Genomic DNA, 23,621 nt, shown 5'->3' with positions numbered 1-23,621 from the left:
TTGGCATTCTTACCACATCCCTTATTTTAGTGGGAGTGATTAAGAAGGAACTTCTTAGGGCTGAGATAATTCCCAGTAAGGAGGTTTACAGATCCAACTGTGGGCTTTTCTCCCATATGAAAATAATTTAACAGCCCACCTGATCTCTGTACCGTAAATAACTGCTCCCAGAACCCTAAGAAGAGTTTGTATTAGTATCCAAGTGCTGTTGTAACAAATTCCCACAAATTTAGTGGCTTGAAACAGTACAAATTTTTGATCTTAGAGTTCTGTAGGGTAAAAGTCTGACATAGGGCTCACTGGTTAAAAATCAAGATGTTGGCTGGGCAACCTCTTGGTGCCACATGTGGTGGCTCACGCCTGTAATCCCAGCACTTTGGGAGGCCAAGATGGACGGATCACCTGAGGTTGGGAGTTCAAGACCAGCCTCACCAACATGGAGAAACCCCATCTCTACTAAAAATACAAGATTAGCCAAGTTTGTTGGCACATGCCTGTAATCCCAGCCACTTGGGAGACTGAGGCGGGAGAATCACTTGAACCCGGGAGGTGGAGGTTGTGGTGAGCCAAGATTGCACCATTGCACTCCAGCCTGGGCAACAAGAGCAAAACTCTGTCTCAAAAAAAAAAAAAAAAAAAAAAAATCAAGGTGTTGGCAGGGCTGTTTTCTTTTACAGGCTCTAGGGGAGAATCCACTTCCATGCCTTTTGCAGCTTCTAGAGGTCACTTGACTTCCTTGGCTCATTGTCCACTTCCTCCATCTTCAAAGCCAGCAATGGAAGGCTGAATGTTTCTCATATCATATATAAGTCCCCCTTGCCATGTAATCTGATATATTCACTGGTTCCAGGGATTGGGGCGGTGGGGCAGGGGGTGTTATCTTGCCTACCATAGGGTGCTTAAATTCATCTTTTAACCACAAGTCTCAGTATGCATTTTTTAAAAGGCCCCCAGTATACAGGAAGTATTTGGAGACACAGCAAAATAAGTTATGTGAAAAGGGTCAGTTTCTTCCACTGTAAATCAGATTTTTGGGCTAGGACTGGTTGGAGTTTAAGTTAATAACGAATACTCAACCAATATTTAAATTAGCTTCACACTTCTGCCACCAACCAACCAACAAAACTCTTGGGGCCTCAAGGAAAGGGAAAAAGGACAAAAAGATTGACTCACAGTGTAAGAGTTTACCAATTACAACCAGGTGTAGGATAGCCTGTTCACTAGTATATCTGGAACCCTGGCAGATTGAAACAAGAGAAACAAATGATAGACATTACCAGTGAGTGGAGGTGGTATAAACCTTGCCCTCTGTCAGCAATTCTCTCTCTGGGAGTGGCAAGTTGGATGATGCTATTTTATAGAAGTGGCAAAGTAAAGAGCACTGGGAATCATATCTCAGTTTCTTCTATCTTGCTCCCTGGACCAGTAAAGTTACTCTGAACTTCCCTTGAAATAAAAAAACCTAGAAATAGGATTACTTACCATAACAACTTAAAAGAATACACTTAAAAAAAGTTGCACAGAAAAACCAAACAAGATTGTATAGCTCTACTTCATGTATTTATGAGTTGTTTCAGAAAAAGAACTTTGATCTTGCCAGGAGCGGTGGCTCATGCCTGTAATCCCAGCACTTTGGGAGCCTGAGATGGGTAGATCACCTGAGATCAGGAGTTCAAGACCAGCCTGCCGAACATGGCGAAACCCCGTCTCTACTAAAAATACAAAAATTAGCTGGGCACGGTGGTACGTGCCTGTAATCCCAGCTACTCGGGAGGCTGAGGCAGGAGAATTGCTTGAACCCGGGAGGTGGAGGTTGCAGTGAGCCAAGATCACTCTACTGTACTCCAGCCTGGTGACAGAGTGAGACTCTGTCTCCAAAAAAAAAAAAAAAAAAAAAAAAATTAGCCCAGTGTGGTGGTGCATGCTTGTACTTCCAGCTACTCAGGAGGCTGAGGCAGGAGAATCGCTTGAACCTGGGAAGTGGAGGTTGCAGTGAGCCGAGAGCACGCCACTGCACTCCAACCTAAGTGACAAGAGTGAAACTCTGTCTCAAAAATAAAAAGAAAAGAAAAAGAACTTTGATCTTATTGTTTATGTTTCAGACACATTGGAAAGAGAGAGAATAGAAGGGATTAAAACATTCTATTATGAAAATAGTAGCATGGTTCTAGTCTAGAATTTCCTCCTGATTCCACTAACATCATAGAAGTGAAAATGACCTTTTCTTGTCTTTTGTCTTTTCCCCAAAAATAACAAGAAGTTATCCGAAATAGCTTTGCACTTCTAATTACAATTCGAGACCTTTGACATGGCAAACAGTCTTCCAGTTTAGTGTGATTGTTTCCCACAAAACTGCCTCAGTAGGACTTGATACACTCAAAGCTCTTTCAGCCAATCATATCCTGAAAACAGTCTCATGAAGTGACTCATTTCTCAGGCTGCACACAACTAAGGGCACAGTGTTTTGTTTTATTCATCCTAGATACAGATTATGATCATTCTTTTCAGGTGGTGGACTCATCTGTGAGCCCTGGCAGGTGACCCAATTCAGAAAGCCAGAAACTCAAAAGCTGACTAGATGTTTTATCTTTGCATATGGAGCTGGGCCTACCAGATTAAGATCCAGAAATTCAGTAGGCTGCTACAGTTTAACTCGTAGCTATGCAGAGTTAACAGTGAGTTCAAACCACATAAGGCTAGAGTAGACTTTCAGGAACGTGGCTTAAATAACTAAAAATTTCTCGCCTAGAATGTAGCAAGATGGAGTACTAAATGCCAAGACATTGACTTTTTTTTCTCCCTTGGATTTGAATATTACATGTCTGTAAAAGATCTGGATTTTAGAGAATGCTTTTCTTCATATTTAGTATTTTAGGCCCTTCTCTAATCACAAAAGATTGTAGGTAAGTATGCATATTCTCACTCATAGGTGGGAATTGAACAATGAGAACACAAGGACACAGGAAGGGGAACATCACACACCGGGGCCTGTTCTGGGGTGGGAGGAGGGGGGAGGGTTAGCATTAACATGTTAAATGACGAGTTAATGGGTGCAGCACACCAACATGGCACATGTATACATATGTAACCTGCATGTTGTACACAAGTACCCTAAAACTTAAAGTATAATTTAAAAAAAAAGATTTTAGGTGAGTATAATCAGAACTTATGCCTTCATAAATACATAGTCTTAATAAAATCATTTACATAATAATTTCACAAAGGGAAAATAGTGTAGTTCTATACCAACCATTTGCTCTAATTTGTTATTCTCTATTTTGTTTCACCTTGCTGCCTGCTTTCTAGAAAGAAGGAATAACAATATCCATTCTTTGAATATGTTTGTCCCCATCATCTAACATATAGTGCTTAATTGTGAATGCATGGCAGAATATATTTCTGAAAAATCTAGTAGAATAGCTTAGGTATACTGCTAGTCCCCTTCCATTTACTATATTGTACTACCACTATTAATAAGGAGTTAAGAAATTTTCATAACCAAGACATAGGAGTGTTAAAGTGAAAAAATATGCATACATTTTGACCCAGCAAACCTACTTTTCGAAATCTATCCCACAGAAGTAATTATACCATTGGAAACAATATGTCTACTGAATGGAGTAGATTTTGGTATAGCCATATCATGAAATATCAATATCATTCACAAGAATTAGTTGATATCCGCATAGATGTTCATATACTATTAAATTTAAAAATGTACGTTGCAAAATAATATGTATACTATAGTCCCGGCTAGGCACAGTGGCTCACGCCTGTAATCCCAGCACTTTGGGAGGCCAAAGCAGGCAGAATTACTTGAGCTCAGGAGTTCAAAACCAGCCTGAGCAACATGGTAGAACCCATCTCTACAAAACACACACACAAGAAGCCTGGGCAACATGGCAAAAACCCTATCTCTACAAAAAAAATACCGAAATTAGCCAGGTGTGATGGCACGCACCCATGGTCCCAGCTGCTCGGGAGGCTGAAGTGGGAGAATCACTTGAGCCTGGAAGGCGGAGGTTGCAGGGAGCTAAGATCGCGCCACTGCACTCCAGCTTGGGAAACAGAATGAGACCCTGTCTCCAAAATAAATAAGTAAATAAAAGACTAAGACTAATATATAAAATATAAAAATGCATGCTTATGTTTTTAGGAACTTAGAGAAAAATGTAGATGATATTAATTAACTGTTAACATTGGTTTCGTGGAGGACAGCACAGAAGAGCTCTGGGAAGGAGACGATAGGCTTTATCTTTGTGTACTTGTGTTACTGGCTTGTTGCAAGAAGCAAAAACTTTTTTGTTTGAAAGAAAAGTCCAATAAAATATTTAAAGAAAAAGAAACCCCAAAGCACTCTTGTTTAAAAATAAAAAAAAAAATCAATTGTACAGGGGTATATAAACCAGAAAGGGAAATCAGGTAATCTTCTTAGGTAACCTGCTTTATTTACTCATCAATATATCAATGGTATCTTTGTATGTCAATAAAGTAGATCTTGATTACTCTTTTAAATGGCTTTAGAGTATTTCATTGTTTGGATATATTATAATTTAATCAATTCTTTATTGTTATACATTTACAGTATTTCTAGTTTTTCTGGTTATAAACAATAACGGTTATCCTTGTATATAAATCATTGCTCACTTGTTCCAGAAGTTAAATTGCTGAGTCAAAGGATATGCATACTGCTAGCATACCTTCTAGAAAGACTGTAGCAGTTTGTAGTCCTACCAATAGTTTATGACATGAGCCTAAAGAATTATCTAAGGAGGTTAGCTGACTAGCCATTCTTCCTGTAAGCAGCAAAAAGAATTTGCTTAGATTAGTAATTGGCAACATTTCACTTCACTTTGATGTACAAAAGGATGTGGGTAGAACTACAATTGTGCATTCAGACATGATAATTCCTACTAACTGGGGGTAGGAGGGCCCACAGGAGTGTAGACTAGAAGTAGAAAGAATGAGGAAAATAAGTCTTTTGTAGCTGTATGGCGATTGAAGAGGAGATAAAACAAACTCTCCAGCTTTTCAGGTTGGGTGACTTGCAGCGCCATCGTCTGGCAAAGCCGCCAAAATCTTTCAATGTCCCTAGGAATAAAGTTGCCCTGAGTAGGGCCACTCAGGATGACGCCAGATGATATCCCTTATTATAGTTTTAGGGGAATCTCTTCCTACCTTCGCCAGTCCTGCAGTGAAAAAATGTACTTAGACTGCTGTACATTTCCAAACCCTTCAACATACAGACAAGTAATTTATACATACATTAGATGTAAAGGTGTAGAAAACCCCATACAGCTTTTTAAAAATATCTCAAGACTTAAACATTCTTCTGTTTCAACCATCCAAGATATAATAGGAAAAGACTTGCTTTTTAAAGCAAAATTGCTCTTTAAAATGTGGCATCCCTAAGTAGTGCGCTTTCATGTAAAATAAAAAAGTCCCTTTCTCGGTGTAGTAGCTGTGGGAAAATTTTATATGCTTTATATTCCAAATTGGTTTCAACTAGTGAGTTCTCTCCCGCATCTCTGCATGACTCTTAACAGCTTTACACTCTCTCCATCCTTTTCATCTCTCCCGTCTCGTCCTTTCTGTCTTCCCGCCTGCAGAGCCCGCCCCTCCCGTCCCTTCGCACAGCACCCCGCCCGCCCCTTCGCACAGCACCCCGCCCGACCCTACGGTTCTAGCCCAGCCTCACTGCTCCTTCCCAGCCGCCTCCGCTGCGTGCCGCCTTCCACGCGCTGACGTCACACGCCAGCGCCGGTGACGCGCCGGCCGCTCTCCCTTAGTCCGCATTCGCTCCAGGGTTTTGGGACCCTAGGTTGCGGAGTCCTTACCCTACCCTGGCCTCTCGAGCAGTTGTCCCCATAACTCGGAATCTAGAGCCGCTGTTGCGAGGCAGGAGCACGTGGCAGTCAAGTAGCTTCCCAGTCCCGAACGCCGCCCGTCCCCACCCCGCCGTGGCCACTAGCAACGACCTCTGTGAAGTTGGAGAGGCGGTAACGGAGGCACTCCCCCTGCTGCACCCCGCCGTTTCTACGGGGCTCAGAAACCAGTTTGTTTGTTTCGTCGGGGTAGTGTCGACCTGTCTTACGGGCGTCGCCCGAGACAGGACGGAGTCAAACCCGTGGTATCAACTGAAGACGAGTGTCAGGTGTGGAGAGTCTCAGTGCCCCCTTTCAGTCTGGACTGTGAGCTGCTGCTGGTTAGACAGTCTTGGTTTCTCTTTCAGGATGTCATTTTCAAAATGCGGGATGGTACCTCTGCTTTATTAAGCCCCGTAGGAAGACTGCCACACCTAGACTGATGCTTATTAGTCATCACCGTTATTCCTACTAACGTCCTGTGTCACTGAGGTGAGTTCCACTTGGGGGAAGGAATGACATGCAAAATGGTAAAAATCATCCTGGAAATGAGATGTGCGTAGAACTGCTTATATTGAGATTACACAGATACCTTAAGTGTTTGCAGGGAAAATACCTTAATCTCATTTAAATGTTAATTCTCTAAGACACTCTGTATTAACAAAGCGATTCTTGGACATTACGGTATTTTTAAAAACTAGAGCGGTAATGGGATTAAAATAATAGGAATCTTAGTATGGATAAGCAAGCATTTGCATTGCTTATGTTGTGTCCAATCTTAAATTACTGATAAATTTTAATTAGGAAGCGAATATGAGTAGTAGTTAGCTGGTTACCCTGTAATCTTAGATTTCTGTTTCCATGATTTGACACAGTTTCCATATGTAAGGCATTAATTGTTGTACTACTTTAAGAGTTTATCATAACTTTTTTTGCAGGCCTATTTTTTGTTCTTTAAGATCTGCTTTAGGAAGCAGAAATATTTTTTATTGCCTTGGTATGTTTCATTAGAAATGTTTATGAAGGATTAAAAGTGGCATCCAATCTAAGTTAATGACCTTTTTTTATGATGCAGCAGTATTGTAGAGCTGATGGAGGGGAGCCAAATTTGGAGAGAAGTAACTCCTTGTTTCTAGTTTACATTTGTCTGGTTTTAGAGGTTCTACAGATCTGTTTCACTTAAAATATCCATTGTTCTAGGTGAAATGTAAGGAGCCTATTTTGTGGGAAAACAGGTTTTTTTCACGTTAAAAGTCACTGTCAGGAATTTAATAAAGGTCGTCGGACTTGACCACAGAAGTTCTTTTGAGGTCGTGTGAATAGTACATTGACATTGTATTCCAAGTAAATTTTGCCCTGTCTAATCTCCTGCCTTCTAGTCTAAGTCATGAACATGACACCTTTTCACGAATGTACATTCTTTATTTACCTGTTGGTAGTTTCTACTACAAAATCTGTTGAATATTGTCTGAATAGACTTACAGAGAAGAAAAAATATTTTGAAAAAAGTCTAATAGAAATTCCATTTTTGCTTTCTGCTTTTTCGAATAAAGGAAGATAAAGAACTTTTTTCCTGAGAAGATAAATGGATCCCCTCCCACTATTCAAGATGGTATTTATTGCTTAGGCAGAACTGTATGTATGGATTGTAGCTGCATACAGCGCCAAAAGACTTCTTGAAACCTGTTGCCATGCCTTTACCATGTTTCCCTTCAAGACAGCCTGTCTATAGAATATCTGAAACACCTGATGAGAGCTTAATGCTTAACCTAAGTATGTGTTCCAGATTGATCGAAGTTGAGCTTTTCCATTCATATACTCTAAAATTGTTTATATGTGGCTCACAAAATTTTATTATGTCCAAAATTGCTTATTTGTGGCTTTAAAGAAATTCTTAGTGGCTGGGTGCTGTGGCTCTTACCTGTAATCCCAGCAGTTTGGGAGGCCACGGTGGGTGGATCACTTGAGGTCAGGAGGTTGAGACAAGCCTGGCTGACCTGGCGAACCCATATCTACCAAAAATACAAAAAATTAGACGGGCGTGGTGGTGCGTGCCTGTAATCCCAGCTACTTGGAAGGCTAACACAGGATAATTGCTTGAACCCGGGAGGCAGAGGTTGCAGTGAGCCGAGATACTGCCACTGCACTGTAGCCTGGGCGACTGAGTGAGGCTTGTCTCAAAGAAAAAAGAAAAAAAGAAAGAAATTCTGGGTCAGACGCTGTGGCTCACACCTGTATTCCCAGCATTTTGGGAAGCCGAGGCAAGTGGATCATTTGAGGTCAGGAGTTCGAGACCAGCCTGGCCAGTATGGCGAAACCCCGTCTCTACTAAAAATACAAAAATTAGCTGGGTATGGTGTCACACTCCTGTAATCCCAGCTACTTGGGAGGCTGAGGCAGGGGAATCACTTGAACCTCGGAGGCCGAAATGGCACCATTGCATTCCAGCCTAGGCAACAGAGCAAGACTCTGTCTCAGAAAAAAAAAAAAAAAAAGAAATTCTTAGTAAAATGTGAGGAAAGCTGTCTTATTTGACTAGAGGCTGAGGTACTTTTTTCTGGAGCATAGTTCATATACTTGAAAAGAAGCATGATGCCATAAGAAAACTTTGAATGTCAAAAGTGAGGAGTTTGGAGATGGGGAATTGTTGAAGGATTTTAATTGGAGAAATTGATTTAGCCAGTATTCTTACTATTTCTATCAGATATTATTGTTTTAATATTTATTGTTTTGAATAGATAATACATTTGTATGGTTCAAAATTCAGAAAGTACAAAAGATTGAAAAATCTTTTCAACTATTAAATGCCTTCTTTGTAGGCAGTATTACTAGTTTATTGTGTATCTCTCCATAGATATTATTTAATACAAGCCAGGGGTGCATGTGTGTATATATATACATATGTATATTTATACACATATATGAGTAACTGTAAGCATATATACTTATGTATTTCCTTTTACTAAACAAATGATAGCATGCCATATTTATTATTCTGATCCCTAAAAATCTAACAGTGTATTAAGAAATTATATCAGTTTAAAAGTTGCTGTGTTGACTGTATGTGAATGATTACATTTTGCTCTATTAGAAACAGTGCTGCAGAGGATAACTTTGTAGATACTTTGTTTTCCTACATTTGGAAATATTTGTAGGGTAAATTGCTAGAAATTGAATCACTACATCAAAGTTTCTGTCCCCTTATAATTTTGGTAGATGTTGCCAAATTATTTTCCTTAGTGCTTGTACCAATTTATAGTCCCACCATATTGTTTCCTGCTATTCCCCCACAGTACAGTACAATAATCAACTGTGAATTTTGCCATTCTAATTGATGAAACATGCCGTCTCTTGTGCTTTTTTAAAAAAATTGTGGTTAAATATACATAACATAAAACTTACCCCTTGTATTTTAAAATTGTATTTCTTCTTCTTTTTTTTTTTTTTTTTTGAGAAGGAGTCTCGCTCTGTCACCCAGGCTGGAGTGGAGTGGTGTGATCTCAGCTCACTGCAACCTCTGCCTCCCAGGTTCAAGCGATTCTCCTGTCTCAGCCTCCCGAGTAGCTGGGATTACAGGCCTGCACCACCACACCCAGCTAATTTTTTGTATTCTTAGTAGAGACAGTGGTCTTACCATGTTGGTCAGCCTGACATCAAACTCCTGACCTCAAGTGATCCGCCTGCCTCGGCCTCCCAAAGTGCTGGGATTACAAGTGTGAGCCACCATGCCCGGCCAAAATTGTATATCGTTTTACAGGAGATTGGGTATCGTGGCACATTTTAACATAATTTGTATTCATTCTCAGTGTTAACGTTTAACTTCATATCCTTTGTCCACTTTTCTTTTGGATTGTTGTGTTTTTTGGTCTTATAAATATGTACGAGTTTTTTATTTGTTAGAAAAATGAGATCGTTGTAATAGCTAAAATATTGGTCTAGTCATATTAATCCCTCAAGGTTTTTTGATTTTGTGTTGTGCTTCAGCTAACCACTCTAAGACAGAAGTCATTCTCCCATGTTTTATTTTATTACTATTATGCTTTTATTTCTTACATTTCAGTATTTTAGCATCTAGAATTTAGGTTGGTGTAAAATGAGGGAATAAATTAACTTTTTTTCCCCACATGGCTACCCAGTTGTCTCACTGCTGGCTTTGAACTTTTTATTTCAAAATTCATCTTTTTTCCTACTGATTTGAAATGTCACTATGATTATTAACCAAGTTTTAAAAGTTTTTTGATTTCTGGACTTCCTGTGATTTGCCTATTTCATAATTATTGTAGCTTTGTAATGTGTTTTGATATTAAGCCAAACAAATTTTCCTTCATTGCTCTTCTTTTTCAATATTTCTCTGGCTGTTCTTCTTCTTCTTTGTGTGTGTGTGTGTGTGTGTGTATGTGTGTGTGTGTCTGAACTTTAAAATCAGCCTGTCTAATCACCCCCAGCCCCAAAGCTTATGTTTTTATTAGGACAGCATTAACTGTAGAGATTAGGAATGAAAATCTTTATGATATTAAGTCTTCCTATACATTTCTTTCTCCACCCCCACCCCCATCCCGGTGTGTGTTGTTGTTTTTTAATATTTTTCTCTCAGTTTTTTTGTTGAATATTTTCTATTGGTTCATTTTATAGGCTAGTAATCCTGCCTTCTGCTGTGTCCTGTCTGCCGTAAATCCATGAATGAGTTCTTAATTTCAGATATTTTATATTGTAGTTTTAGAATGTCCACTTTTTAGAAATAAATTTTGAGGCCAGGCGCGGTGGCTCACACCTGTCATCCCAGCACTTTGGGAGGCTGAGGCGGGCGGATCACAAGGTCAGGAGATCGAGACCATCCTGGCTAACACGGTGAAACCCCATCTCTACTAAATATACAAAAAAATTAGCCGGGCGTGGTGGCAGGCGCCTGTAGTCCCAGCTACTTGGGAGGCTGAGGCAGAAGAATGGCGTGAACCTGGGAGGTGGAGCTTGCAGTGAGCCAAGACTGCGCCACTGCACTCCAGCCTGGGCAACAGTGCGAGACTCTGTCTCAAAAAAAAATTAAAAATTAAAAAAAAATTTTAATTCTTTGTTGAAATTCTCCATCTTTTAAAAAATCTGTTTTATCCATCTTTTTATCTTGTTTTCTTAGACATATTAATTAATCATGGTTACTTTCAAGTCCTCTATTAGTAACTTCATGTTTGAGTCATTTGTGAGTCTATATCTGTTTTTGTTTAATGTGCATCATTATTTTTTGATGGGATACTAGACATTGTGAATGAAAAGTCTTAGAGACTCTGAAACATGTATCTTGTAAAAATTGTTAGTTTTGTTTTGGCAGTCTGATGAAGTATCAGTGAATAACTTTGATTTTATCCATGGTTGCTTTTAGGCTTTGTTAGGATGAGACTGTTTCAGTCCTCCTCCATGTATGCACAGTTTAGGAACAGAATAACAGGAGCAGAACTTACTGTAGATTTTTGGACTCCTTCTATTATTTTTCCTCTTCAGGATTTTGGTAGCCCTGAACTCTGACCGCTTTCTCTCCTCAGCAAGACTGCTGCTTTATACTTGAGCTCCATTGTACTGTAGCACAGTTTGGAAACTCTCTTCAGGGAAAAGGCTGGGATGAATGTAGAACCCACTAGTATGTTTCCACCTTTCGGTGATTATAGCCCCTCAATGCATTGCTGTTTCTTTATATATTTTGTTCAGGTTTTAAGTTGTTTTGGAAGGTGAGGTGATCTGATACTAAGAACACCATCATGGTTGAAAGAGAGTCTCACGATTTATTATGTAGACTTTCACTTAATCTCCTAGATCATAGATGGGATTTCCATTCTTAGTTGTGCCTGGTGTACCCAATCTAGAGATATCTGTGGTCTTCTTTCAAGATGGGAGAGGAGTACTTATCTGACTGGGAGAGGTGGAGGAGGCAAACTAAGTGTCTGACACTTCTTACACAAGCTCTTCACCAATCCTGTTTGAGTCCTAATATTATCCTCACTCTTAGATGCCCCAGTACTTCCAATTATTGAGCTAGTTTGTGGTGGGAATTGACTTGTTTCTGACTTATTTCCCACTGCTGGCTTAAGGTACAGCTTTTCTCTATTCTCCTAAGTCAGTTGCTGCATGTTCTTTTGTGTTTGCCAGCTTCTAGAACTGTATTGCTGTTGCCTTCTCTTCTGTTTTGCCTTTTTGGTAATCCCTTTAAAGTCATGTTCCTCAGGTTTGGACAAGTAGTAGAGGTAAATATGTACGGGTCAATCTAGTATGCTTAACTGTAGATTACAGTTTATTTATTTTTACTTTTTAAATAATTAGGCTAAAGAAATTAGTATGACTTCTTTTAATTTTTTGATGGAATGGCTTTCCCCATCACTCTTACTCTTTGTGGCTAAGAGTACAATTCTAAACAGTGTTGACATTATATATTTTCTGACTTTTTAATTTTCTTCTCCTTGAGTCATAGACTAGTCGACTTGGCAAGGTCTATAAAATGGCATTAGGTTTAAATCTTTCGTGTTTCTAGATAAAGAAACTGAAGTCCACAAAAGGCAGATGGTTAGCGTTTGATTATGTAGCTAGTCTTGTCTCTTGATTCTGAATTCATTGCTTTATTAGGTGACATAACTCTTTGGAAAGCTCAAATATCAAAAAAGTCTCTGATTTTTTCCTTGTTGCTTATCTTCAGGATCAGCTATGTATTATAGAGATTGAATTGATATAATTATTAGAGACCTTAAGAACACTATAGAGTGAGTAAAGTTGGTATTGTGATTTTCATTTGATGTTGGAAACTGAATGGTAGAAAAGGCAAACATTAATTTGAGTTTATTACAATACTGAAGTAAACAGGATTCGTATGTTCCTTCAGTTATAAGTTATGATTTTGTATGTGGAAGCCTATAGTACAATTTGTTATTGTTTTCTATTTCATTTGGTATGAAAAATTTTATGGAATTATAATTCAGTTGAGAAGTCTCACAACTAGGAAGTAGCTCAGTTAAATATATTGTAAGATGCTGAAAGTAATCTATTTTTTCATGTTTTCCCTTTTACTTCCTTTATTGTACACTGACATTACAAAAAAGGAGAGTTTGTCTGTTTTCCTGAAAGTCATCTACCACAAGTCTTTTGTTGTTCAGAAAAGTGTCTGCATTTGACATATTTGATGGCAATTAGAGTCATCTTTCTTTACTAACAGGATCAGTAGGTCTGCTTTATAGAGTTAGAACCACAATGTTCAGTAATGTTGTTGGCAGTAGAATGCAACACTGGGGACTTTTGGAGCTTCTGTCTTATTAGTGTGGTCCCTAGAAAGGAATTGGCAACTTAATTTTAAGGAATGGCCAAATTGACTAATTTTGTTTCCCTCTCTTGGCAGAAAGTCGCAGAATAATGATGATTGTGAAGTAATCTCATTATATGGCTATTATTTAATTTAATTTTTGAAATTTAGATTACTAAGATGAGTTTATCTTGATTTTTTTTTGTAAGTAGCATAGTAATGTAATATATTAAACATTCATGTTCTGGAAAAATCATTAAATTGTGGCTGGTGCCCAGATAGCCATTATATTGTGCCAGTTAACACAACTTGGGCTTGAAAATATATTTGGAACAACTTTTCTTCTTTAACTCACTGATGCTAAAATGCTATAATAATGGTTTATTTCTTGTTTCTCTTAAAGTTGCTAAAGGCAATCTTGTTTTCTAAGGTAGAGAAAGGCTCTTTCTCACAAAATTTCATGAGTCATACTTATCTCATCAGTGCTACCACAGGCTGAGTTCTGGCCTGTGGTCTGGTCTTGTAGGCACAGCATATGATGTTTGTCATTTAAGGAGATTGGATCATTTTTAGAGGCAAAATAAAGTTAAAAACAAATTTGGCACTGATGGATGAGATAAGAACATGGATTTTTTAATTTACAATGAGAAATATGGTAAACTGCCACAGAAATTTAAAAAGAGTTTCACGACAAACTTATTTTCTCCTAGAAAGGAATCACACATTGGAAGCCTGCTATGAATGGAAATAAAAAAGAGCAAGCTAGGTGAATTAAATGTTTATTAGTTTCAGATTAGCATAGTAAATTCATGTATGTCTACAATAAGGGTGATATTGCCAATAGGTTGTACACATTATTGCTCTTATGACTCTTTCTCACACTTTTTTCAGCTTTCACTAGCTAGCTTATTGTATTCTGGCTTCTCCTGAAACTACCACTCTTTTGAAATTACTATTCCTAAAGATACTAATGACCTTAATCAATTGTTTTGGTATGGTAAGGGTTTAAGTGTGATACTAAAAGTAGAAATATAAAGAAAAGATTAATACATTTGTTTATATCAAAATAATCTTTTATACTTAAAGGCAACTAGGATATAAGGGAAAATAATTTATGACAGATAAGGACTTCATTACATAAGGAGTTTTTACAAATTAAAGACCAACTCAGTATAAAATGATTAAAGAACATGGATGAATAGTTCAAAAGAGAAAAAATAGAAATGTTCAATAAATGTGGCCGCTCATGGTGGCTCACACCTCTAATCTCAGCACTTTGGGAGGCCAAGGCGGGCAGATCACCTGAGGTCAGGAGTTCAAGACCAGCCAACATGGCGAAACCCCGTCTCTACTAAAAATACAAAAATTAGCTGTGTGTGGTGGCACACACCTGTAATCCTAGCTACTTGGGAGGCTGAGGCAGGGGAATCGCTGGAACCTGGAAGGTGGAGATTGCAGTGAGCCGAGATCGTGTGACTGCACTCCATCCTGGGCTTCAGAGTGAGACTGTCTTAAAAAAAAAAAAAAAAAAATGTTCAATAAATGTGGAAGAATTTTTCAAATTCACTGGTAAGCAAAAGAAATCAAAATAAAAACGAAACACCATTTTCCCCATTAGACGTATGGAGTAACAACAATAACAAATAGTGACACAGTGTTCATATGTGCCAAGTACTGTTTTCAGTACATTCTTACATTAACTAATTCTTCCAACACTTCTGTAAATATGTACTATGGTTATTCACATTTTACATGTGACCAAACTGAGCACATAGAGATAAGTAACTTGCCTAAGTTTACATAACAAATAAGTGATAAAGCTAAGATTTAAACTTTTTAGTGTTCTTTAACTACTACCCTTTATTGCTTCTCAAAGATTTTAATAAATAACAACCAGTGTTTTGTTGTTATAAATGACATTACAGTAAACATCTCCCTAAATACAAGAAATAATAATAACCAGTGTTAATGAGGGTACCTAGTAGCAGGCACTACTGGCTAAATACGTATTAGTAGACAGTTCTGTTAAGACACTTAATATGTTTGAAAGCCATACTGTAACATGGGCATATTCTTTGAATTCAGAATTTATCCTAAGGAAATCCTTACAATAAGCACATTAAAATATGTGTACAAAAACTATCCAAAATTGTTCTATACTAGCAAACATTTTAAACGAATGTTGAATAAGAGGGGATTAGTTAAATAACTTCAAGAAATAGTGTATTATTAGGTTTTCATTCTTTTTGGAGAAAATAAAGTAATGCTACTAATTAATTCATGTAAGTTTGCCTTTCTCTCCATACATTAAGTATATGCAGTATTTGGCTTTCCAAAGCATTCTTATAAAATTGAAATATCACATTTTTTTCTCTTTTTTGGATGTAATTAGGTTGTACTAGTAAAGTATATAAAGTGTAACTTTTAGTGAATATATTAAATATCCTTTTTTAAAATGTTAGCAAATCACTAAAGAATTAGAATTTGAATTAAACATTAAAATTGTTATGAAGTTATAATGTTTTATCTCATGTTATAAATGCTTTATCTTTTTTGTTAGTTTTTTAAATGTCTAGCATATCTGTAAAGATGCCTTAGAAAAAGAATCATGGAGAAGTATGTTAGACTACAGAAGATTGGAGAAGGTTCATTTGGAAAAGCCATTCTTGTTAAATCTACAGAAGATGGCAGACAGTATGTTATCAAGGAAATTAACATCTCAAGAGTAAGTATATTTTTAGTTTGGTTTCATGAGTAATGGTTTAGTTACAATAGAGCTCATTGTTAGAGATTTTCTTTAAAAAAAAAAAAAAGTAATCGATAACCTAAAGCAAAAGACTCCTTTATTCCCGCTAATATCAGAATAGCCTATATATTCTTTCAGATTTTTTCTATGATATGTGCTTATGTTTATGTGTTTAGAAAAATATACTTGCTGTTCTGTAACCTAATCTAGTTTGGACATCTTAAAATGTTTCTACTTACAGATTCAACTCATTCTTTTTAACTTCTTGCTATATTTTGTTGATTGAACTGTATTAATACTATTATGTTTTAACCACTCACCTATTGATGGACTTTTAGGTTGTTTATTAATGGTTTCATTTACTATTTTCTTTTTCCTCCCATTTAAGATGTCCAGTAAAGAAAGAGAAGAATCAAGGAGAGAAGTTGCAGTATTGGCAAACATGAAGCATCCAAATATTGTCCAGTATAGAGAATCATTTGAAGGTCAGATAAATTATGCGAGAGAGTTAAAAAATCCTAAGACATTAATAAATCTTTTTGTGAATGCATTCTTAGGAAAAAGATACCATTTTTGCTTAAAAACATACGCATATGAATATCAGCTTGATTCAAGGACAATACTGATATCATGCCTGCATTTTTTTTTTTTTTTAAATTGAGACAGTCTCGCTCAGTGGCCCAGGCTGGAGTGCAGGGGCATGATCTCGGCTTACTCCAACCTCTGCCTCCCAGGTTCAAGTGATTCTTATGCCTCAGCCTCCCAACTGTGCCTGTATAATTTAATACTGGCTGTTATTAGTGATTGCTTTAAAAGAAGCAATGCAGTAAGTGCAAGAATTTGGACAGAGCAAGAACAGTAATTTACATATTTTTTAACTGAACTTCCTGTAAGTGCTGCCACCACTACCACTGAGAAAATGTTCTGATCTTTAGAAAGTATCCTCACTCAGTATGCTCCTCTGTACCTCACTATTATAATAGTGAGGTATGTTGAAAGTTTTCTCAGGTTCTTAAAGTATTATAGCTATAATGCTGTTTTGGAACTATATGCATTATATTTAATAATGCAGGTATTAAGATAAGGCAAAGCTTCTCTAAAGGCAGGTCAAAGTGGTTTATTGAAGTCCTACCCAAATATTCTCATTATTATAAATTTCTGTAACTTAATTTCTGTAAACTAAAAACCAGGTAATCTAGATTGAAAGTAGAAGATAATTGAAATGACTCAGGGACATATCACATACCAGTTTCAGAGTCTGAATTAGAGCTAAAGTTACTACATTCCCAGATGAACTCTGTGTCTACTATAAGTCTCTTCTACTTTTATAAAAATGTGATTCAATTAATACATTATGTCACAAGGTACTGTATTTTTTATGCTGGCAGTGAAATGAAGATTTATATTTCATGTGAAAGAGTACAAAATTAACCAACTCTTCCTTTTCAGGACCTTGAATTTTCCTTTATCTTTCTCCTGGCATCTATCCTTTAGTTTCTTTTTTTGTTGTTGTTAACAAAATTTTAATATTTCAAGTTAAAAGGTTTTGAGCAAATATTCCAGCAGATGTTTTGGATTTATATTGACTGCTTCACATAGAAACATCTGTGTGATTCAAAAGGGGTAGCGTATTTTAAAAATAAGGCTTTATTATTTCTCTTAGTTTTAGAAGAATACATGCTAGCATCAAACATAAATGATAGCATAGTATATGTAATTTTTTGCTTTTTGTTATGCTACATACATTATAACATCTATATACATATAAATAGTGAATTATAGTTTTCAGGAGTTTTTTTCACATTATAATTTCTCACATGTATATTTGGATGATCTTTCCAGGTCAATCATAAAAAGTCATACAGATTCTTAATTAGCTTTATCATATAGATTCTTATCCCAGTGGCACATTACAAACAGTAGATCAAAAGAAGATATGTGCACCACGAGTGACAAGAATGTCACCACAAAGTATAAGAAATAAATACTCCTGGAGGCTGGATGCGGTGGCTCACAATTGTAATTTCAGCAACTTCGGGAGGCTGAGGTGGGAGGATCTCTTGAGCCCAGGAATTTGAGATCAGCCTGGGAAACATAGGGTGTTTGTAGACCCCATCTCTACAAAAATTTAAAAAATTAGCCAGGTGTGGTGGTGTGTGCCTGCGGTTCCACCTACTCTGGAAGCTAAGGTGGGAGGTTTGCTTGAGCTCGGGAGGTCGAGGCTACAGTGAGCCATCATCGTGCCATTGCACTCTAACCTGGACCCTGTCTCAAAAGAAAAAAAAAATACTGCTGGAAATAAGGCCATAGCACAGTCAGTGAAAGAAGTGAGAACTAGGAAAACTGTTCTTTGAGTTGTGATAGTCTCAGTACTATGTAGTGATTCAGAAAATGTTAAAAGTGATATTGGCCACTCTTCCTTACTTAAGAAGTAAGGGATGGAAAGAATCATCAAAGTGTTCTTCTAAGCTGGACACAGTAGCATGGGCTTGTAGTCCTAGCTATTGGGGAGGCTGAGGCGAGAGGTTCCCTTGAGCCCAGGAGCTCAAGGTCAGCATGAGCAAAATATTGAGACACTTTTTCTTAAAAGAAAAAAAAAAGCCTAAATAAAAAAAAGAAGTATTCTTGTAGTCCTTTCTATCCATAGGAAGAAGCACAGAAGTACCTTTCTTTGTGGACCGAGACATAAAGGTGGATGGGGCAGTGCCCATCTTCATGTTTGTTCACAAATCATATGCAATTTTTTAAAAAGTGCATAAAATTAAGGAAAGCTCAAAGAGGGTGGAAACAGTGTATCCTATACACTGTTGAATCCTCAGAGTTTATCACAACACTTATTATTTTATTTATTTAATAAGTAAGTGATTAAAGTGGATAAAACAAAGCAGAGAATTAATGGCCAGTCAGAAAACTAAGATAACCCATCTCTGATGTGATATATTGGTGGAAAAACATGATTTTATGTGTGACATTTAAGGAATTGTATTTATTGAATGAAATCAAGTATGTCTGCATTTTGTTTATATTTCAGAGATGTTTAGGTCAATGCAAACAGCACTATTCAATAAAATAGTGTATTTTTAATAGAAATCATTAATGATGGAGTTTTCTGTTAACCTAAGTCATTATACAATCTTTGTGACCGGTATACCTTGACTTTGTGCCCTAATTCTTTTGAGTATGGTCCTGTTTTTTGTTCAGCAGCTGCTTTTTAGTAAGCTTTTAAGTACTTTTAATTTAGCCATGCTTTTGATGTACGTTTTTAAAAGTGGACTGTAATGTTTATATTTTGTAGAAAATGGCTCTCTCTACATAGTAATGGATTACTGTGAGGGAGGGGATCTGTTTAAGCGAATAAATGCTCAGAAAGGCGTTTTGTTTCAAGAGGATCAGGTAAGTTTGCATTTAGGAAATTGACTCTTACTCTATTATTGAGAAGTAGTTCAAAATTTGTTTATGTGTGTATTTGTTTTTAACTACAAATGCTAATCAAAATTACTAGGGAAGTTTAGTATATCAATAGTTTACTCATATTTACCTCTAATTAGCTGCCACCTTTGTTCAGTTGCCCATCTCATTTATAGTCTGTAATGATATATTGTTATCTCTGTGATGTATGTTATATATATCATGCGTCTATGTATATGCCTTAATTATTCATTATAACTGACTAGTCTATATTCTGTCAATCTGGCTTACTGCTGCCAGACTATATATTCCTAAAATGTGGCTTTGCCAGGTAACTCCAGCTCTAGAAGCCTTGCACCGACAACTGCATTAAATCTAATCTCTCTTTTGATTTCCAGGATCTCTAAAATATGGCCGTTCCCTACCTAAGCAGCCTTATTTTTTTCTATTCCCTAATCTGTACCTCTTTTCATTTGCTTTAACAGATATTTATTGAGCATGTGCTTTGTGTTAGGCACCGGGCCACATGTTTGTACATCTCATTCTCCTTCCTGTGTATTTACTCTGATTATTTCATTTATTTTGGTAAGCCTTTTCCCCAAACTTTGTTATTAATACTCTACCTTTTTTTTTTAAGCTCAGTTCAAGTCCCAGCTTCTTTAAATTTTCCATAACTACTTTAATCTGTGATATTTTCCTTCTCTACATTCCTATCACATTTCTCATTATCACCAGTTCTTAATTTTAATTGCCCGCTTTTACATAGGGGAGTAGAGGGAGCACTGTGCTAGGAGTGTTGTATTTGTTATCTCTTCTAATTTGGATAAGTTTTTTCAATTTATAAGGAATCCAAGAGAGGTTAAGTACTTGCCCCAAATCACATAGTCAGTGTTTGAACCCACCTCTAACTCTAAAGTTTATAACATTTTCTTTTCACACACTTGAATTATAAAAGTATTGAAGTATACAGAAATGGAAAGTCTTCTTTCTCCACCCTTTTGTTCCTGAGATTACCACTGCTTTTAGTTTGGTGTATTCTTCCAGACTTTCTTTTCCATACTTAACACATGTACATATATACATTAAGACACACACATTCAGAAATGGGATATTATTATTATTTATTTATTTTTATTTTTATTATTTTTTTTGAGACGGAGTCTCACTCTGTCACCCAGGCTCGAGTGGAGTGGCACAATCTCGACTCACTGCAACCTCCGCCTTCCGGGTTCACGCCATTCTCCTGCCTCAGCCTCCCGAGTAGCTGGGACTACAGGCGCCTGCCACCACGCCTGGCTAATTTTTTGTATTTTTAGGAGAGATGGGGTTTCACCGTGTTAGCCAGGGTGGTCTCCATCTCCTGACCTCATGATCTGCCCGCCTCAGTCTCCCAAAGTGCTGGGATTACAGGCGTGAGCCACCGCGCCTGGCTGGGATATTATTATTTTTAAGATAGGCTCTCGCTCTGTCACCCCAGCTGGAGTGCAGTGGCACCATCACAGCTCATGGCTGCCTTGCACTCCTGAACACAAGCAATTTTCCCACCTCACTCTCTGGAGTAGCTGCTGCTACAGAAACGTGCCACTAGGCCCAGCTAATTTTTTAAAAATTTATTTTATTATTATTTTTTTTTTGTAGAGATGAGGTCTTGCTATATTGCCCAGGCTGTTCTCAAACTCCTGGCTTCAAGCAATCTTCCTACCTTGGCCTCTCAAAGTGCTGGGATTATAGGCACGAGCCACTGTGCCATTTCTGGCCAGGCACAGACATGGGTTTGAGTTCTTGCTCTACTTATCAAGTTGGTAATTGTTCTGTTAACAAGTTCTGAGATTATTTTCTCATTTGTTAATAGGGAGATACCTACTATACATGTGGTGAAGGTCAAATAGTAATGTATGTTAGTATATACAATGCTATTTTTATTAGAACATTGTCAGATATATTTCATTGTTTGTGCTTATTTTCATTCATTTATCCCTATCGAACTTTAAAATGTTTGCTATTAAATGATATTCCCTTATAAAGCACATTGATATTTTATAGATTTGATTCTACTCTTTGATAAGTACTCTTAGTACATAATGTGGTGTGTGTGTGTATGTGTGTGTGTATCTTGTCTTCCTGGAAATTATTATGGAGATTTGTATAGTTCATCCATCAGTGAAGTTATTTATCATAAATGATAAAAATTTGGCAAGCCATTCTTTTAAGTTAATAGCATTTTTTCTACCCTTCTGAATAGCAAGTTCTGTTAGCACAAATAAGGATGCTATTTATTTTAGCCTATTTAAAATAGGAAGAGGTCATTTAAACTACTTTCTGGGCTTTGAAACAGGAAAACTTAGAGCTCCATTAAACTGTAGCTTAGCATCAGTTTGAGATGATTTTGTCCCTTTCTAGAATGTAAGTGGGGAACAGGAAGACCTGTGAAACAGATGATTCTCCAGCTACTGAAGCCATTCTCTTCAGTGATACTTCCTGTTTGCATCTTTACTGGACAAAAATCTAGTCAGGTTAAGAAGCAACCTGAGTCTATGACTTTATTAATAGAAAATAATGAGATGAACTAAGTACGTTCCCTTGGACAGTCTCTACATAGATATTTTAAAGATGTACCAGTATTTTTGCCTTATTTGAAAGTTTTGGATGAGTTTTTTTGATAGTCTCCCCACATGTGACCATAAATAATTTTCAGAATATATTCTTGATCAAAATAAAATCTGGCTTCATTAGGGTTGGTCCAAATAGTTAGGTGCAGCAAGAATGTTAATTAAACAAAGAACTTGAGTTTGCTCTGAAAACCTAGAGCATTATATTATCAAACAACTACTAAGGTTACAGAATTGATTTCTGTCTATAAATTTTCATAAAGAATCTTTGATTGGATTTTTAAAAACTCTTATTATTTGTTCTTCTATCCTAACGTCAGGAAACTGAGCCCGATACATTCTCTACCAAATTTCACCTGTAGTACCTATAAATTGGAGTGAAGTTTTTTCTTTTTGAGAATCTCCAAATATGCCAAGGTCCCTGGTTGCTAGAAAGTGACTTTACCATTTACGACGCAGGGACCCTGTAAGTTAGATAACAGGACAGTTTCCTGGCAGCACTATGTAAGTATTGGTTCCACATATATTTCCTTTTTTTTTTTTTTTTTTTTTTGAGGTGGAGTCTGGCTCTGTCCCCCAGGCTGGAGTGCTGTTGCGTGATCTCGGCTCACTGCAAGCTCTGCCTCCCGGGTTCACGCCATTCTTCTGCCTCAGCCTCCTGAGTAGCAGGGACTACAGGCGCCCGCCACCACGCCGGCTAATTTTTTTGGATTTTTAGTAGAGATGGGGTTTCACTGTGTTAGCCAGGATGGTCTTGATCTCCTGACCTCGTGATCCGCCCGCCTCTGCCTCCCAAAGTGCTGGGATTATGGGCATGAGCCACTGCGCCCAGCCTGGTTCCACATATATTTCTTAGTAGTAGGTTTGTCATAACTGATTACATGAAAATCATCTCAAATAAGGCACTCCAGGTATGGCCTTGGTTGCACAATTGATTTGTCCAATTACATTCTGATAAAAAGGAATATAGATTCTTATCGAACCCATGAAAATTACCAATATTGTCCTGAAAAGTAAAAATATGTAAAACTATTTGCTTCTGAATTCTGAGTAAATTATTAAGATCAAATATCATTTTAAGTTTATAAAAACATAATCTAAATTGAGAATTAGATATAGCTTAAGAAAGAAAAAAGGCTTCCTCATCTATTCATTAAATTTTGAACATTAAAAATAATACCAATCATATTCCAAACAACCACAATTAAATTTTATTTAATTCAGTTTATTCATTCCTAGTAATTCTTGATCTTGGATCAAGCAGTTAGCATTCATGATGTTTGTCAGCTTATGTACAAAAAAGTCTTGAAGAAATTCTGACTCAGTTCATTGATAAGTTCCTTGATCATTTAAGCAATGTTAGGTCAGAAACTTGTACCCAAGAGTCTATTTTCTGAAGTGCCAGTAGTTTGGCATTCCTAGTGTAGTCCTTTTCAGGAGCTTTCTGGCAAGCATCAAGCAGCAAAGGCCTATTTGATAATGAGACTGAAAGGCTGTGGTTAGTTTATTATAGTAACCAATAATAGAATAAAATGCTCTGTTGGGGCAGAGTACATAGATTTGATAAGGGCTTGATGAATGTTTTTCTTGAGGATAAAAATGGAGAGCAAAGTTACTGACAAATCTCCAGGGCCTTCTCTAAAGCATGCATTTTGTGAAATATTAATAGTATTTTAGCTATACAGACTTAACCTAGGAAAGACTGAGCATCTTTTTAGATT

The 23,621-nt window shown here is 37.1% G+C and overlaps 1 protein-coding gene across 26 annotated transcripts in view, besides 2 other annotated features; it reads left to right on the top strand.

Moving 5' to 3' along the window:
- Positions 5,721 to 5,780: an enhancer, noted in NCBI's record as "active region_22139". NCBI's record gives its function as "activates an Ori minimal core promoter by ATAC-STARR-seq in GM12878 lymphoblastoid cells {active_cell/tissue: GM12878}" and the evidence as "EXISTENCE:reporter gene assay evidence [ECO:0000049][PMID:35858748]".
- Positions 5,793 to 23,621, top strand: part of NEK1 (NIMA related kinase 1) — a 219,775-nt gene continuing 201,946 nt past the window's right edge. For 14 of the 26 annotated variants that reach the window (NM_001374421.1, NM_001374420.1, NM_001199399.3 and 11 more), the window contains exons 1-5: positions 5,793 to 6,154; positions 6,233 to 6,356; positions 15,698 to 15,862; positions 16,272 to 16,368; positions 19,179 to 19,276. In NM_001374421.1, coding sequence (NP_001361350.1) covers positions 15,746 to 15,862; positions 16,272 to 16,368; positions 19,179 to 19,276 — 312 coding nt within the window. In that variant the 5' untranslated portion in view covers positions 5,793 to 6,154; positions 6,233 to 6,356; positions 15,698 to 15,745. Of the gene's footprint in view, positions 6,357 to 15,697; positions 15,863 to 16,271; positions 16,369 to 19,178; positions 19,277 to 23,621 lie in introns of those variants that run through there. The other 12 variants (NM_001199400.3, XM_047415731.1, XM_047415734.1 and 9 more) reach the window with 4 other exon arrangements.
- Positions 6,201 to 6,320: an enhancer, noted in NCBI's record as "active region_22138". NCBI's record gives its function as "activates an Ori minimal core promoter by ATAC-STARR-seq in GM12878 lymphoblastoid cells {active_cell/tissue: GM12878}" and the evidence as "EXISTENCE:reporter gene assay evidence [ECO:0000049][PMID:35858748]".

Source organism: Homo sapiens, chromosome 4, assembly GCF_000001405.40.
Source record: "Homo sapiens chromosome 4, GRCh38.p14 Primary Assembly".
In the NCBI taxonomy this organism is placed as follows: Eukaryota; Metazoa; Chordata; class Mammalia; order Primates; family Hominidae; genus Homo; species Homo sapiens.
The sequence above is the reverse complement of the archived record's forward strand: the minus strand, read 5'-3'. Positions and strand labels throughout refer to the sequence as shown.